Source organism: Homo sapiens, chromosome 20, assembly GCF_000001405.40.
Source record: "Homo sapiens chromosome 20, GRCh38.p14 Primary Assembly".
NCBI lineage: Eukaryota > Metazoa > Chordata > Mammalia > Primates > Hominidae > Homo > Homo sapiens.
Window position 1 is genome coordinate 8,845,347 of NC_000020.11, and position 14,332 is coordinate 8,859,678.

The 14,332-nt window shown below is 40.7% G+C and overlaps 1 protein-coding gene across 2 annotated transcripts in view, besides 1 other annotated feature; it reads left to right on the forward strand.

Moving 5' to 3' along the window:
* Window positions 1-14,332, forward strand: part of PLCB1 (phospholipase C beta 1) — a 752,635-nt gene that overhangs the window by 713,081 nt on the left and 25,222 nt on the right. The window lies entirely within an intron of this gene.
* Window positions 13,156-13,450: a silencer, noted in NCBI's record as "tiled region #2883; K562 Repressive non-DNase unmatched - State 24:Quies". NCBI's record gives its function as "represses a minimal TATA promoter and a strong SV40 promoter by Sharpr-MPRA in K562 cells {active_cell/tissue: K562}" and the evidence as "EXISTENCE:reporter gene assay evidence [ECO:0000049][PMID:27701403]".

A 14,332-nucleotide genomic window follows, 5' to 3' on the forward strand; every position in this document is an offset into this window, starting at 1 on the left:
AGTATTGTTTCTCAAATACATTGATCTCTTTATTATGAAATGTTCTTTCTGTATTTTCTTGCCTTAAAGTAATGCTGTTCGATACAGTAGCCATTAGCCATGTGCTTATTTAAATTTAAATTAATTAAAGAAAAATATAAAAATTCAGCCCCGCCTTTGTGCTAGTCACATTTCAGATGCTCAATAGGGCTATTGGTTACCCTATGGGATAGCACAGAGAACATTTCCATCATTACAGAAAGTTCTATTGGGTCGGGCTGCCTTAAGGCTACTTCATCTAATATTAAAACAACTATATCAAGGGTTTTTTTGGTTGACAATTATATGGAGAATTAAATAAATCCTGAATCACAGATGAAGATTTTAGCATATCCCTCTCTGTTACTAACAAAATAAGCAGGAAGGAAAAAAAAAGAAAATCACTAAGCACACAGAGGATTTGTTTAACACAATTAACCAACATAATATAATTCACATATTTAATGCATTACATTCAACAGTTATATAATACAATACGCATTAAGTACGCAATGCGGACACATTGGAAGATACACCTGGCTGCCAAGTGTCCTGTAGGGAGGTGTTGATTGTAGAGACACACAGCAGGGGCTATATAATTCCATAATCAGGAAACCCAGCAAAACTGGTATCACACGAAGGAATTGCAACTATTGTATTAGTCCATTCTCACACATCTATAAAGAACTACCTGAGAGTGCGTAATTAATAAAGAAAAGAGGTTTAATTGGCTCTGCAGCCTGTACAAGTAGCATGGCTGGGGAAGCCTACAATCATGGCAGAAGGTGAAGGGGAAGCAGGCACTTCTTACATGGCTGGAGCAGGAAGAAGAGAATAAAGGGGGAGGTGCCACATACTTTTAAACAACCAGATCTCATGAGAAGTCACTCACTATTATGAGAACAGCAAGGGAGAAATCTGCCCGCATGATAAAATCACCTCCCAGCAGGCCCCTCCTCCAACACTGGGGATTACAATTCAACATGAGATTTGAGGGAGGACACAAATCCAAACCATATCACCTATGGTTTGGGTTTTGGTAGCACAACACTGGTACAACCTACTACTCAGGGATCCTCAAACTTTAATATGCATGCTAATCAACTTGAGGTTCTATTAAAATGCAGATTTTAATAGAGTAGGTCTAGGTGCACTTTGTAACAAGTACACTTTGTTACTGACTTTAAAACGAGCTCCCAGGTCATGCTAATGTTACTGGTCCGTGGACCACACTTTGAGTAGGAAGATTCTAACTCAAAAGCCCAAACTAGTAGCTTAAACACCAAATCATGACAGAAGCTGTTTCCCCTGGCTTGTATCATATTGATTAACACAGTAAAGAATTAGCTGCTGACATGTACAAAGTGTGAAGTTTCACATAAGCATAAGCACCTGAAGCGTCTCTTGAAGTCTGGGAAGATCCGGCCAGGGCAAGTCTGCTTCCATACATGGTCCATACAAAAGTCCACTGGAGCAGAGTAGAGGCCACTAGCTTTCGAGAGCCCATGATTTATCCTTCACCATAAGTCCCACCTCCACTACACTGACACCTTGCCAACCATCCATCTCACTTCTTTATTTGCCTTTCTAACCTTCTGAGACAAGGACTCTCAACCTAAGCTAAATATTGGAATCAGAGGAGCTTTGAGAAATACTGATGTTTTGGTCTCAGCCCCAAAGATCTTGATATGGTCATTTCAAGGGGTGGGAAAAGCCTGGGCATTTTAAAAGCTACCCAAGTGATTCTAATATGAAGCCAAGGTTGAAGACTTCTGTTTAAATCAATTTAGTGACACTAGCAAGATTCTCACACACCATCCTCAGACATTCTGATTCTGAAGCTCAGGATCACCACTTCCTAATATTTGCAGGATCTGAGACAAAAGAAAGCTCTCAATCTATAGCCTTTCACCTTGTCTTTCTACTTCCCACCCACTCCTATACTTTCTTGCACCATGAAGAATCTTCTGTATATAGAATTAGACACACATCCAAGATCTGTCCTTACTCCCTTTCAAACACCCAGCCCTTGGTCACTCTTGAACTTAGACCTTTGCAAAATGACTGCAAGGTCTGCCATTAGAGGAAGAGGAAGAGGGCCTAAAAAGGGGTCTTGGGGCCAGTTGGGAAGGGAATTTTGGTATCTTGTTGAAGTGTTTTCTGACACCAATCTCTTCTCCAACATCGGCTGAATGTCGAACCATTCAATTCAATTTTGATGCACCTGGATTTAGGGCAGACCCCACAGCTTAAGTCCCACAAGACTGCCCCCACTTCAGGTGCCAGTTGCAAGACTTGGACCACCCATACTTCTGACCAACCAGCTGTAAGTCAGAGGTTCCCACAACACTGTCCTCAGCTTCAATAATTTACTAGAACAGCTCACAGAACTCAGAAAATCCACTTTACTTACATTTAGATTTACAGTTTATCAAGAAGGATACAGATCAACAGCCAGATGAAGAGGTATATAGGGTATCGTAGTCTGCTTTGTGCTGCTATAACAAAATGCCTGAGACTGGCAATTTATACGAACAGAAATCTATTTTCTCACAGTTCTGGAGGTTTGAAAGTCCAAAATCAAGGCGCCAGCAGGTTCGGTTGTCTGGTAAGGGCTGCATCTTCCAGAGGGGAGGAACGCCATGTCCTCACATGATGGAAGACAGAAGAGCAAGAGAGACCAATGCTATCAAAAGCCTTTCTAAGGACCTTAATCACACTCATGAAAAAGGGCCCTCTTGACTTAATCACCTCTTGTTTGCCCCACCTGTTAATACCATCACATTGGCCATTAAGTTTCAACACTTTAACTCTAGAGGGAACACATTCAAATCATAGCACAGGACAAGGTCTGGAAGAGTCCCAAGAACATGAGCTTATGATCCTACGGAGTTAGGGTGTGCTGCCCTCCTAGTTCATGGATGTATTCACCAACCTGGAAGCTTTACATCATTATTTAAGAGTTTTTATAACTCAATCTTTAGCTCTCCCACCAGGTTAGTGAGGGAGGCTGAAAGTTCCAACCCTCCAGTCAGTTGATCTGTCTGGTGATCACCCCTATCCTGAGGCTCTCCAGGGGCCCTATTCTAAATCTACTTATTAACATAAATTCAGATATGATTGAAAGGGGTTTACACAAGGCCTCCTTATCACTGTGAAAAACCCAAGCGTCTTAGGAGGTCTATGCCAGAAACCTGGGACAAAGACTAAATATATTTCTTATATCACATCTGGGTACCCCAGCATTAGGGAGGCCATGTCTCCATGTGCAGGAGTCATAGTCTTGTGTACTAAGCTACTCACCTCATGAGGAGTGTGTGGATGAAGGAGGGCTGGGGGGCCATGAGGGCCCAAGGGATGGGCCTGTCTTGCCCACATCTGGAAGTCCGGGATGAGGACTGAGACTCTCTTTGTAGCAGGTTCCCCCCAGTGATTCTGATGTCAGTTGTCCACAGGGTGCACTTAGAAAGACAAACTCTGCAGAAGGATCAGAGCTAAAGAAGAATAGCTTCCCCTCTTTTCTCTCTGCTGCCTAACATTTCTTAGTACTAGTCAGAGCTTGGGAGCCACACTTGGAATTTCAAAAGAGGAATTTTTCATGCTTTTCTAAATGGATTGCATTTTGGGGGCTTGGAAGCCAAACACTTAGAATCTGTAAACAGTTTGTCCTGGGAGAGAATGGCTGCAGGCTTTCAGAACAAGAGAGGGAAATTTAGGCTGACTGCACCCTCTGCTTCTCAAAGCTCTTTCTGCTAAAATGCTATAGTTATATGTGGTCGTAGAAATAAAAGAGAAGCCAAACACTCAAGTGGGCACTGCTTCCCATTTTTTGACTAATGAGAGATTATTCAAAATCTTGATATTGAGTTCTTACTACCTACCCAAGCACTGAGCTGTCTTCTGTAATCATCCACAATATCTATGATGTCAGCTCCATCATTATCATTTTATGTAAGGAAACTGAGATGCAGACTGGCCACTGGCTCAAGCTCATACAACTATTCACTGACAGAGTTAAGAACCAAGCAGGGCCGGGTGCGGTGGCTCACACCTGTAATCCCAGCACTTTGGGAGGCCGAGGCAGGCAGATCACCTGAGGTCAGGAGTTCGAGACTAGCCTGGCCAACATGGCAAAACCCCATCTCTACTAAAAACACAAAAATTAGTAGGGCATGATGGTGTGCGCCTGTAGTCCCAGCTATGTGGGAGGCTGAGGCTGGAGAATCGCTTGAATCTAGGAGGTGGAGGTTGCGTTGAGCCGAGATCATGCCACTGCACTCCAGCCTGGGTGACAGAACAAGACTCCATCTCAATAAAATAAAATTAAATTAAAAATTAAAAGAAAATATAAAAAAAAGAACCAAGCAGGGCTGAGCGCGATGGCTCATGCCTGTAATCCCAGCACTTTGGGAGGCCAAGGTGGGCGGATCACGAGGTCAAGAGATCGAGACCATCCTGGCCAACATGGTGAAACCTCATATCTACTAAAAATACAAAAATTAGCTGGGCATGCTGGTGCAGGCCTGTAGTCCCAGCTACTTGGGAGGCTGAGGCAGGAGAATTGCTTGAACCCAGGAGGCGGAGGTTGCAGTGAGCCGAGATCACGCCACTGCACTCCAGCCTGGCGACAGAGCAAGACTCCGTCTAAAAATAAAAAAAAGAACGAAGCAGCCCGGCCCTAGAACTCATGTGCTCTAAACCACTACTCTAAACCAGCTCTTTAAAACACGTAAGTGTAAATGTGCACAGATTTCAATTTAGAGCTGTGTGACTCCCAGCAGATTTCTTTTTTCTTGAGCAAAGGAGATGCCACTGTGAATATTAATGTCTGTCATAGCCAGAGCAGACACTCTTCAGCTTTTGGGCAAACTAAAATGCTCAAAAATACCCACAGGCACAACATTTTCTAATCGTGCTTCCAGAGCCAGGCAGTGTGTTCATGCATGTAAGACGCTGTATAAATGTAGGTAGTAGCACCAATAGTGCTCATGAATTATGGATGAAGAGGAACATCCAGAGTCAAACATTCCTGAGAAAGCAGACCAGGCTCCCTTTACTGGGTTAGGAAAAGATAAAAGGCTAAACTTCCCAAGGCAGTTGACTGGTGATTTTTCATTCTAACATCCGAAAAAATAGGAATAAAGTTGCTATGGTTTGAATATATGTGTCCCTTCAAAATTCATGCTGAAATTTAATCCCTAGTAAAACAGTATTAAGTGAGGACTTTACGAGGTTTAGGTCATGAGGGCCTTACCTCCATGAATGGGGATAGTGCCCTTATAAAAGGGCTTGAGGGAGCCTGCTTTGCTCTTTTTGCCCTTCTGCCATGTGAGGACACAGCAAAAAGGTATCATCTTGGATGCAGGAGATGAGCCCTCACCAGACGCCAAATCTTCTGGTGCCATGGTCTTGGAATTCCCAGCCTCCAGAACTGTGAGAAATAAATTTCTATTAATTATAAATTACCTGGTCTAAGATATTATGTTATAGCAGCAGGAATGAACCGAGACAGCAGCCTATTTCAGAAGCCTGTCTCTGATGCTCCTATTCCAACCAAAATCTTTAAGCCAGAGATCGCAACCAGTAACCTGGCTGAATAATCCACAAACATGGTTTATTGTACTCACACATTGTTATAATGTTTTTTTCTTAGTGTTCTTTCATCTTCTTGTTGAACAGGATGCCAACTTTAAAAATAAGGAGATATCCTTTAAAAATGTTTCCTTGCTTTAATTGAAATATTCAAAGACCTGGCTCACTGGGGCCATGTTCCAATGGACTTGGCAGCAATTAGCTGGATCTGAGGAGTGGAATCCCCGATTAGATGACCTTGTGTGCTCCCTTTAGCCACAGTCACCATCACTGTTTGTTACCTTATACTCACATACCACCACTGACTACCACCAGTGCTTTTCACTCTTTTTCTTTACCTCTCTTCCTCCTAAAGTCATTTGCATTTAATAACTGCTAATTTCCTGTTATTCAAGGTCCCTAGCAATTTATGATATATGTGTTTGCTTATATAAACTTGCTTCAACAGGCCACAGTAGCCTAGGAGGTAGTCATTGCTTGAAGATTTATACTGGGCTGCAAAATAACCCTGAGTGTCTACTCAACTTTCAGTTCGAAGTGCCTTATCCTGTATGGTAGTGGGTTACTTTTTGCATGCCAACTCCATCATATGGTAGCAGATGCCTGGGACTTTTTGTTGATAAGGATTCCAAGGCTATCTAGATGGCCTGGAAGTACCACTAAGATTGATTAGTGATGTCTGCCATAGTCACCCCAGCTGCTGCTATCCATCAGAAGTCATCAGCCCTGTGCTTCCATCTCCATTTCTTTTTTTGGTTTTTTTTTTTTTCATTTTTTTCATTTTTTTTCATTCTGAGTGTCATCATTTAGGAGACTCACACAAAAGTAAGAGAATCTTTCTAGGGAAATGTTCTCTTTTCTTTGCTTGAACTGAAGTTGCAATTTAGAGGCAGTTACCCTTAACCCTGGCATCTTTTTCCCCCAGTACAAGTGTTCATAGAAGCACCACATGTAACAGGCAAAAACTGGAAACAACCTAAATGTCCATCAACAGTGGCATGGGTAAATGAAGTGTGGTGTATTCACATACTTTATAGCAATTTTTAAAAACCCGACTACAGCTATCTACAACAACAAAAAAAGAAGCCAGATGCAAAGAACTATAGACTGTATGACTGTTTATATAAAGTTGCAAAATAGGCTGCTGTCTCAGTTCATTCCTGCTGCCAGGTTTTATCTCTGCCTCCTAATTATTCTGTCATTTCAGCCACATCTGGGGTTACTAAGTGTCATTTCTAAATTGTACCTACTGACATTAGCGAATATCTTTTTGCTGGTCTCCCAAAAGAAAGATCCATCATTTTTCTAACTCCTAATTGAAGAACCTAAGAAAATTGCTGTGTTACAAAGTGTTCCTTTTCATCAACCACAAAACAATCCTCCAGGACAGAGTTGAGCAAAACCAATTCTGTCCAATCCAGTCTGAGTCTAATGACAGAAACTACTCTGAGTTACCTTATTCCTGATATTCCAGGACTGACATCAGGGCCTCTGTCCCAAGAAGTGGAGGAAGGCAGAACTCCCACTAGCCATATCCCAGCCTCCTTAAGATGGGCCTGTGGTCCTGGGAAATCTGCTCTTCTAACCTTTCCTTTGTCCACAGAAGCCACATCAGTAGAGGGTCAGTTACAGACAAGGGGCACACAGTGAATAAGGAGGCACTCACTTCTTGGATTAATTGGCTTAGTGTGAGAAGGCTCACTTTTACATCCTAAGATTGGAAAGTGCCAGAGGCCCCCACAAATCTCCAAAAGCATAGTTTGCTCTCCAATTTTCTCAACTCTTTCCCGGTTTGTAATGTTTATTGTTTTCTTATAATATTTACCAACCATCTTACCTCACCAATGCTAGATCCTACAGGTAACAGAAGCACAGTATACCAGAATGATCACATCCAATAGCCCCTGGCTGGCTCCAGGTGTCATGAAGTGACCTCTGATTTTGTTACTGCCCCTGAGTGGTGGCCAGAAGTTACATTATGTCAGTTTACAGTGTGGCAGCCCCCATATCCATTGGGGACATGAGTGTCAGGCAGGTCAGGTGAGTGTCACCACCTGGAAAGTGGAAGCATCTCTAAAAACAACTTCCACAGAATGCATGAATTTACAGATGATATGAAAACATGTGCATATTGAATTTTCTGAAAAATGGCTTATCACAAAATTTAAAAAAAGTATTTATCAAAGGAACTTTGGGCACATAAGGAAATAAATCCAATAGTATGCTCATGACAATTAGTTATATAAATAAAATAAAGTAGGTTATTAGTCCATATAAGATAGCCTCAGGAAAAAATTAAATGCCCAGATAAAAAGTATGCAGCTTGACAAATTTTTACAGAATTTATGAAATTACCACTTGTGTCAAGATACAGAACATTATCAACACCCCAGAAACTTCCCTCGTGCTCCAACCCAGTCAGTACTACCTCCATCCGGAAGTAACAGCTATTCTGATGTCAGTCAACACAGAGATTAGTTTTTCTGTTTTGCAACTTTATATAAACAGTCATACAGTCTATAGTTCTTTGCATCTGGCTTCTTTTTTTGTTGTTGTAGATAGCTGTAGTCGGGTTTTTAAAAATTGCTATAAAGTATGTGAATACACCACACTTCATTTACCCATTCCACTGTTGATGGACATTTAGGTTGTTTCCAGCTTTTGCCTATTACATGTGGTGCTTCTATGAACACTTGTACTGGGGGAAAAAAAATGCCAGGGTTAAGGGTAACTGCCTCTAAATTGCAACTTCAGTTCAAGCAAAGAAAAGAGAACATTTCCCTAGAAAGATTCTCTTACTTTTGTGTGAGTCTCCTAAATGATGACACTCAGAATAAGACGCTTTCTTCTCCTTCCACAGTCCCCTGTGCTGAGGCATTTTATGTGATTGTGTGTGTAAGCTTCAAAGCGTTATTCAACAAAGAAGCGCTGTTCTCCCAAGCTCTAACCATTTACTCGTAATGGGCATATGGTATTTCGAGTGCTGTACTTTACTATTTCACCACTAGAGGGCAAGAGGAGCCCCACAATGCTTGACATTGCCAGATCTGCAGTCAAAATGATTAATCATGAGGCAAAAACAAGAAGCCAGAGGGAAAAAAGGAAGAGCTCACAAAGGCAAAATAAACATCCATAAACTTAAACTTTCCTGGGTAGGGAAGATCTGAAAAATGTCACCCATGAGCCACTTTCTAACACTCGTTCCATCTTTCTTTTTCCAGTGTGCAAAACTCAATTGCACAGTCCTCAGTTGCTGAAACTACCACCCAACAGGGTGGGACTAGATCAGGCAGACAGATCTCAGAGGGCATTTTTTTTTAGCACTGCCTAGAGCCTTGGTTATTAGGAAGCCGAGAATCTTGCAGAGGTCCCAGGCCTCAGGGGCTCTGAACAAGCAACAGAGAGTTCTGTGATTTCTTCTTCATTCTAAGTAATATTTCTTCCAATAACACCATGGTGTTTACTAAAATCAAGGCACTAATGAGTAAGGCTACCAGCCCCAACACCTCTCCTTTTTCTCCTCTTCTCCCGGGTCCAGGCCCTTCTACCTGCCACAAACTTAATCAAGATTACAGAATGGAGATGTGTTGTTTTTTGCAAGGGGAGGGGAGTAGGGAAATTAATTACGAAGCCAAGTTGCTGTTAAACTATTTATAATAAATTTCTACTGGAAAAGGACCTTTGGCTGACAATCGTTTTCTTCTGCCTCGGCATGACCAAATACAGTAAGAATTCAAAAGGAAAACTGAAAAGCGAGGAAGAGCCCACAGCTGGAGCAGTCTGTTTTCACGTCTCCACGCTGGCGAACGACAAACTCGGCAAGGAGCCTCCTGTGTATTTCCTGTCCTCGTTATCTCAGTTCTTGCTCTGAAGGGCTAAGAAGCCTTCACCGTTAGCCAAGACTCCTTCGTGCTTCAGCTTAATTTTCCTTGCATAATTTTAAATACAGATCATGTCTACAGTACAGCAATTAATGGATAGCCTAAAGACTTATTATTTCAAACTAATTGATATGTAGGAAAAGTTTAAATAACATAACGGAGAGGGGAAATTTTAAACGATGTATGCACAATGAATTTAAAATTTCTCTCTGTTGCAGATGGTAGCAAAAACATATGATTAATAGGGGGATGTGATCAAAATGTAGAACTGACTTGGAAATCTTTCTCTTTTTGATATTCTTGAGCATATGATTGGAAGGAAGAAAGATTCAGACATTTCAGAAATGGGGTAAGGGGTGCAGGGGAGAGCAGATTCTTCCCCCCCCACTCACTCCCACCAATTCTAGGGAGTTATCTCACAAGATAAAAGAACACCTGAGTATATTTTGAGTTGTGCTGTTAGGTCAGAAATAAGAAATGGGAGAAGAATGCCATTATTTCCATTCTAACTCTTTGGTCAAATCCCCCTCTTGAGATAAACTTGAGAGAGAAGTCTACAAAGACCAAGTTCACCCAGCTGCAGCAGAACCTGTTCCAAGTCACCAGCACTCCCAGACCCAGGATTCCCTCCAAATTCTAAGAAATGTGCTGTGATGAATCACCTCACTGACACACAAAAAAACAAAAATCTTTCTAATTTCCCCATTCACATTCCAGCAAGTTTAATAGGAAAGTTTAGAAAACTCATCTGAAGAAAGAATACTCTTCAAATGGGAGAGAGCAGGAACATTTTGTTCTAAGAAGGGATTGAGACCTAATGATGCCAGACAACATTTTAAATATCAGAACACAGCATTTGTAAGAAAATAGAATCTGCTTCAACCATAAACCATAAGGGGGGAAAACTACCTTTAAAATGTATTTTCTTCATATCAAATTCATGTCATAAGAATATCTGAATGACTTCTGGCCAAGTCACTTAAATTTTGTGGTCTTCAGTCTTTTTGGTCTTCTCAGATGTAAAATTTGCCACAGACTGGTTATTTTTTAGAACCCTTTCTTCCCTTCTGTTCTCCTACTTTATTTAGGTAGCTCTACACACACATTTTGAAAATTGGATGAACAACCTCCTTCTCATTGGTCCATGCAAGACCATATTACTGTATTTATAATATAATACACACCCATATACACCACAAAAACTACAATACTGGTTTCTCCCCCTCTGGTACCCTGGCCTTTCATTCTCCACCCTCTGCCCTTCAAGGTAACAATGAATCTGAAACGTGTGCATGTATATATTCCTGTTTTTTATATTTACATGGTTATAGATATACATGTGCATATATATCATGCATATGTATTCCTATAACACTTTATTTTTTTATCTTAGTTGTTTTAACTTCATAAAAATGGTATCATATGGAGTATCATATTGAAATATGATAATGTAAGTTAAAGGACCATACTGAACCTATACTGTATAAAATTTGGGGGAGCCTACAATTTTTCACTTAAAAATATGTTGCTTACTTTGGGAGGCTGAGGCTGGTGAATCACTTGAGGCCAGGAGTTCGAGACCAGCCTGGCCAACATGATAAAACCCTGTCTATACTAAAAATACAAAAATTAGCTGGGCGTGGGGGCACACGCCTGTAGTTCCCAGCTACTGGGGAGGCTGAGGCATGAGAATTGCTTCAGCCAGGGAGGTGGAGTTTACAGTGAGCCGAGATCACACCACTGCACTCCAGCCTGGGCAACAGAGCAAGACTGTGTCTCAAAAAAATAAATAAATAAAAAGAGCCAGACACAAAAAAGTATATACATTATTATTCAGTGTATATGAAGAGTTAGAAAATATGCTATCTTGGGTAGGGGACAGGATGGCTAGTGATTGGAAGGTGGCAGGTAGAGGTCTTATGGAGTGCTGGTATTGATCTGAGTGCTGGTTAAATGGGTGTGTTCACTTTGTGGAAGAAAATCCTAAGTCCATGAATTTGTTGTATCAGTTAGCTATTGCTGTATAACAAATTCCACCACAAAACTCAGGGGCCTAAAACAATAAGCATTTATTATTATCCACAAGCTGGTGAGCTGGGAAGTTCTCCTGGTCTTAGTTGTTCTCACTTATGTGTCTGGAGTCAACTGAGCATGAGGTGGACAGCTCTGCTGGTGATACTGGTTGGACCCGCTTTCATGTTTGAGGGTCACTTGGATGTAGGTTGGTCTAATATGGCCTCTGCTAGAACGACCGGATCTCTCCACTTAGTCTCTAATCTGTGAACAGACACGCCCAGGCTTGTTCACTTGCTGGTGGCAGGGTTTCAATAGCAAGAGTAGAGGCACATGTGGCCCTTTGAGAACAACTCAGCACTGCAACAGTATCACTTTTGTCATATCCTATTGACAAAACAAGTCACAAAAGAGGAGTGAAGAATGGTGGGTTTTTGAAAACTCAATCTACCACACTTCTCTTATGTGAACTTCTCTCTGTGTACTAATGAAAAAAATTTAAATAAAGTATATCTAAGTATAAGGTATCTATATTGTTAAATGTTGCTATAGTTTATTTTGACTTATTCTATTCCATGAATGTATCGCACTTATCCATTCTACTGTCAGTTTGCATTTAGTGATGTCCAGTTGATTGCTGTTTTAAGCAGATCTGCTGTGAACATGCCATCTCATATCTCCTAGTATGCAAACTCTGTACCAGAAGTTTTCTTGGTTGTATACCAAACTGTGGAATTACTGGGCCATAGGGAATATGAATCTTCCATTTTACATGATGATGCTAAATTGTCTTCTGAAGTAACTATACCACTTTACACTTTCTTCAGCAATATATGAAAGACTGTATTACCCTGACACTTGCCAATAGTTGATATTAACGTCAGACTTCCTAATATTTCCTACTAAGATGAGTATGAAATGATATCTCAATGTGGTCTAGATCTGCCTTTTTCTGATCAGTGAAGAAACTGACCATCCCTTCTATTTAGTTTGTTTTTGTTTTGCCTTTAGCCACATGTTCCTTCTTAAGCAAAATGCCTCTTTGTATCTTTTGGTAATTTTTTTCAATTGAGTGATTGGTCTTCTCATTACTTCATAACAATTCTTTATATATTCTCAATACTATTCTTTTGTCAGATGTGTTTGTTGTGAAAATATTTGCCCAGTTTATCACTTGCTTCTCACCTTATTGAGGGTGTCATTTGAATAAGTTTCATAATTTTAAGTATTTGAATTAAATTTTTATTTAATTTTTATTGTTAGCTTTACTTGAGGCCTATTTAGCCAATCCTTAACTACCCCAGGATCTGAAATAGATTAAAGGTTTAGCAGTCAAAACATAAACTAAATACTGTTTCATTTGCACTCACACACACACACCACGGCCTGCTCTTGTTACAAGCAGTTTTGGTAATGCGGCTCCTGTGTTCATTATGAAATATTTAGGTATGGACTTGTCCTCAGTAATAGCATCTAAATATCACAAACTCAGGAAATCTAAATTGTTCTGACAAGTTACAAGAATAATTTCAAAGAACATTTTCTTTTGGCAGTAGACCCTGATGTTGTGTAGTAATGGAAATGTTTAAATTCCAATGATAGGACAGGGATGGCCCTGGCTAGAATAACACAAAAATCATTCAAATCTAAATGGCATAAGGCTGCAGCAGTCCAAGTGAGATCCCTCGGGGAGTCTTGGACCTTTTCCAAGATGTAGGCTCTCTACAGTGTGAGTGTGCAGAGATTGTATGATTCCACTGGGGTCACTTCCACTGATGGGTTCAATGGACTACAGCACTGACCTTCACATGGCTTGTTTTCATAGCTTCGAGTCCTAAAGGGAGATAGGGTCATAGGAATATTTCAACAGTGTAAACAGCTCACAAGTCTTCCTTGCTCACTTACTTAGAGGTGACCAGATGAACTGAACATACCCTAATGCTAGGCTCTTAAAATAGGATCTTGTTTTAAAAAGGGGTTCAGTAGACAAAGAAGGCCATTCCCTTTTTCCCAACTCTTGTTCTTAGGGTAGTGTTCTCAAACTCTGGCAATTTGAGTGTGCAAAAAAAAAAAAAAAAAAAATTAGAGTAGTGGAAGTGGGACAGATAGTTCCTCTTTAGCCTCCTGACATACCTCTTGTTTGGAGGGATAAGATAATCTCTCAGATTGCCACCTGGGCAAGGAAACTGGGCAACACACTTCCAACTCAGAAGCCCTGAGGTTGGTGGCCTGCTACCTCTTTGCTGGTCCCTCTTCCTCAAGGTTTCCGCTTTGGAAGTAGGGACTGATTCTTAATTGGTTCATCTACTTCTAAGGCCAGCACTTAGGAAGAGTTAGCTTGTTCTTGATTGGCTCAAGAACTTTAATTAATAAAGAAGCACCGAATCCAGAATATTTATAAATAACATCTGCTCACAAATAGAACATTGTTCCAAATAGTTCAGTCTAAACACTTTCAGCTTCAAATCCACATTAAGAAAATCATAACAATTACCTTTAAACTCATGTTTCCAAAAATGTGATGTGTATGTGGATTACCTGTGGATCTTGTTAATATGCAAATTCTCATTCAGTAGATCTGGAGTGGGCCTGAAGTGATACTACTGGTCCTAGGACCACACTTTGAGTAGCAAGGCTTTCTAAAGTTCTGCTCTCCCGCACAGCTGAATTGAATAACTTTTCCTTCTAGAGATGGCATCATGGTTAGCTTTTGAAAACCTTTTGGTTTTTTTTTTAACTTCAGTCTTCTAGTAATTCAAGAAAGCTGGCTATTTTTTCAATCTTTCTGGATGTTTTAAGGATCTCCTTCTAATTCTGAAATGTTGCTC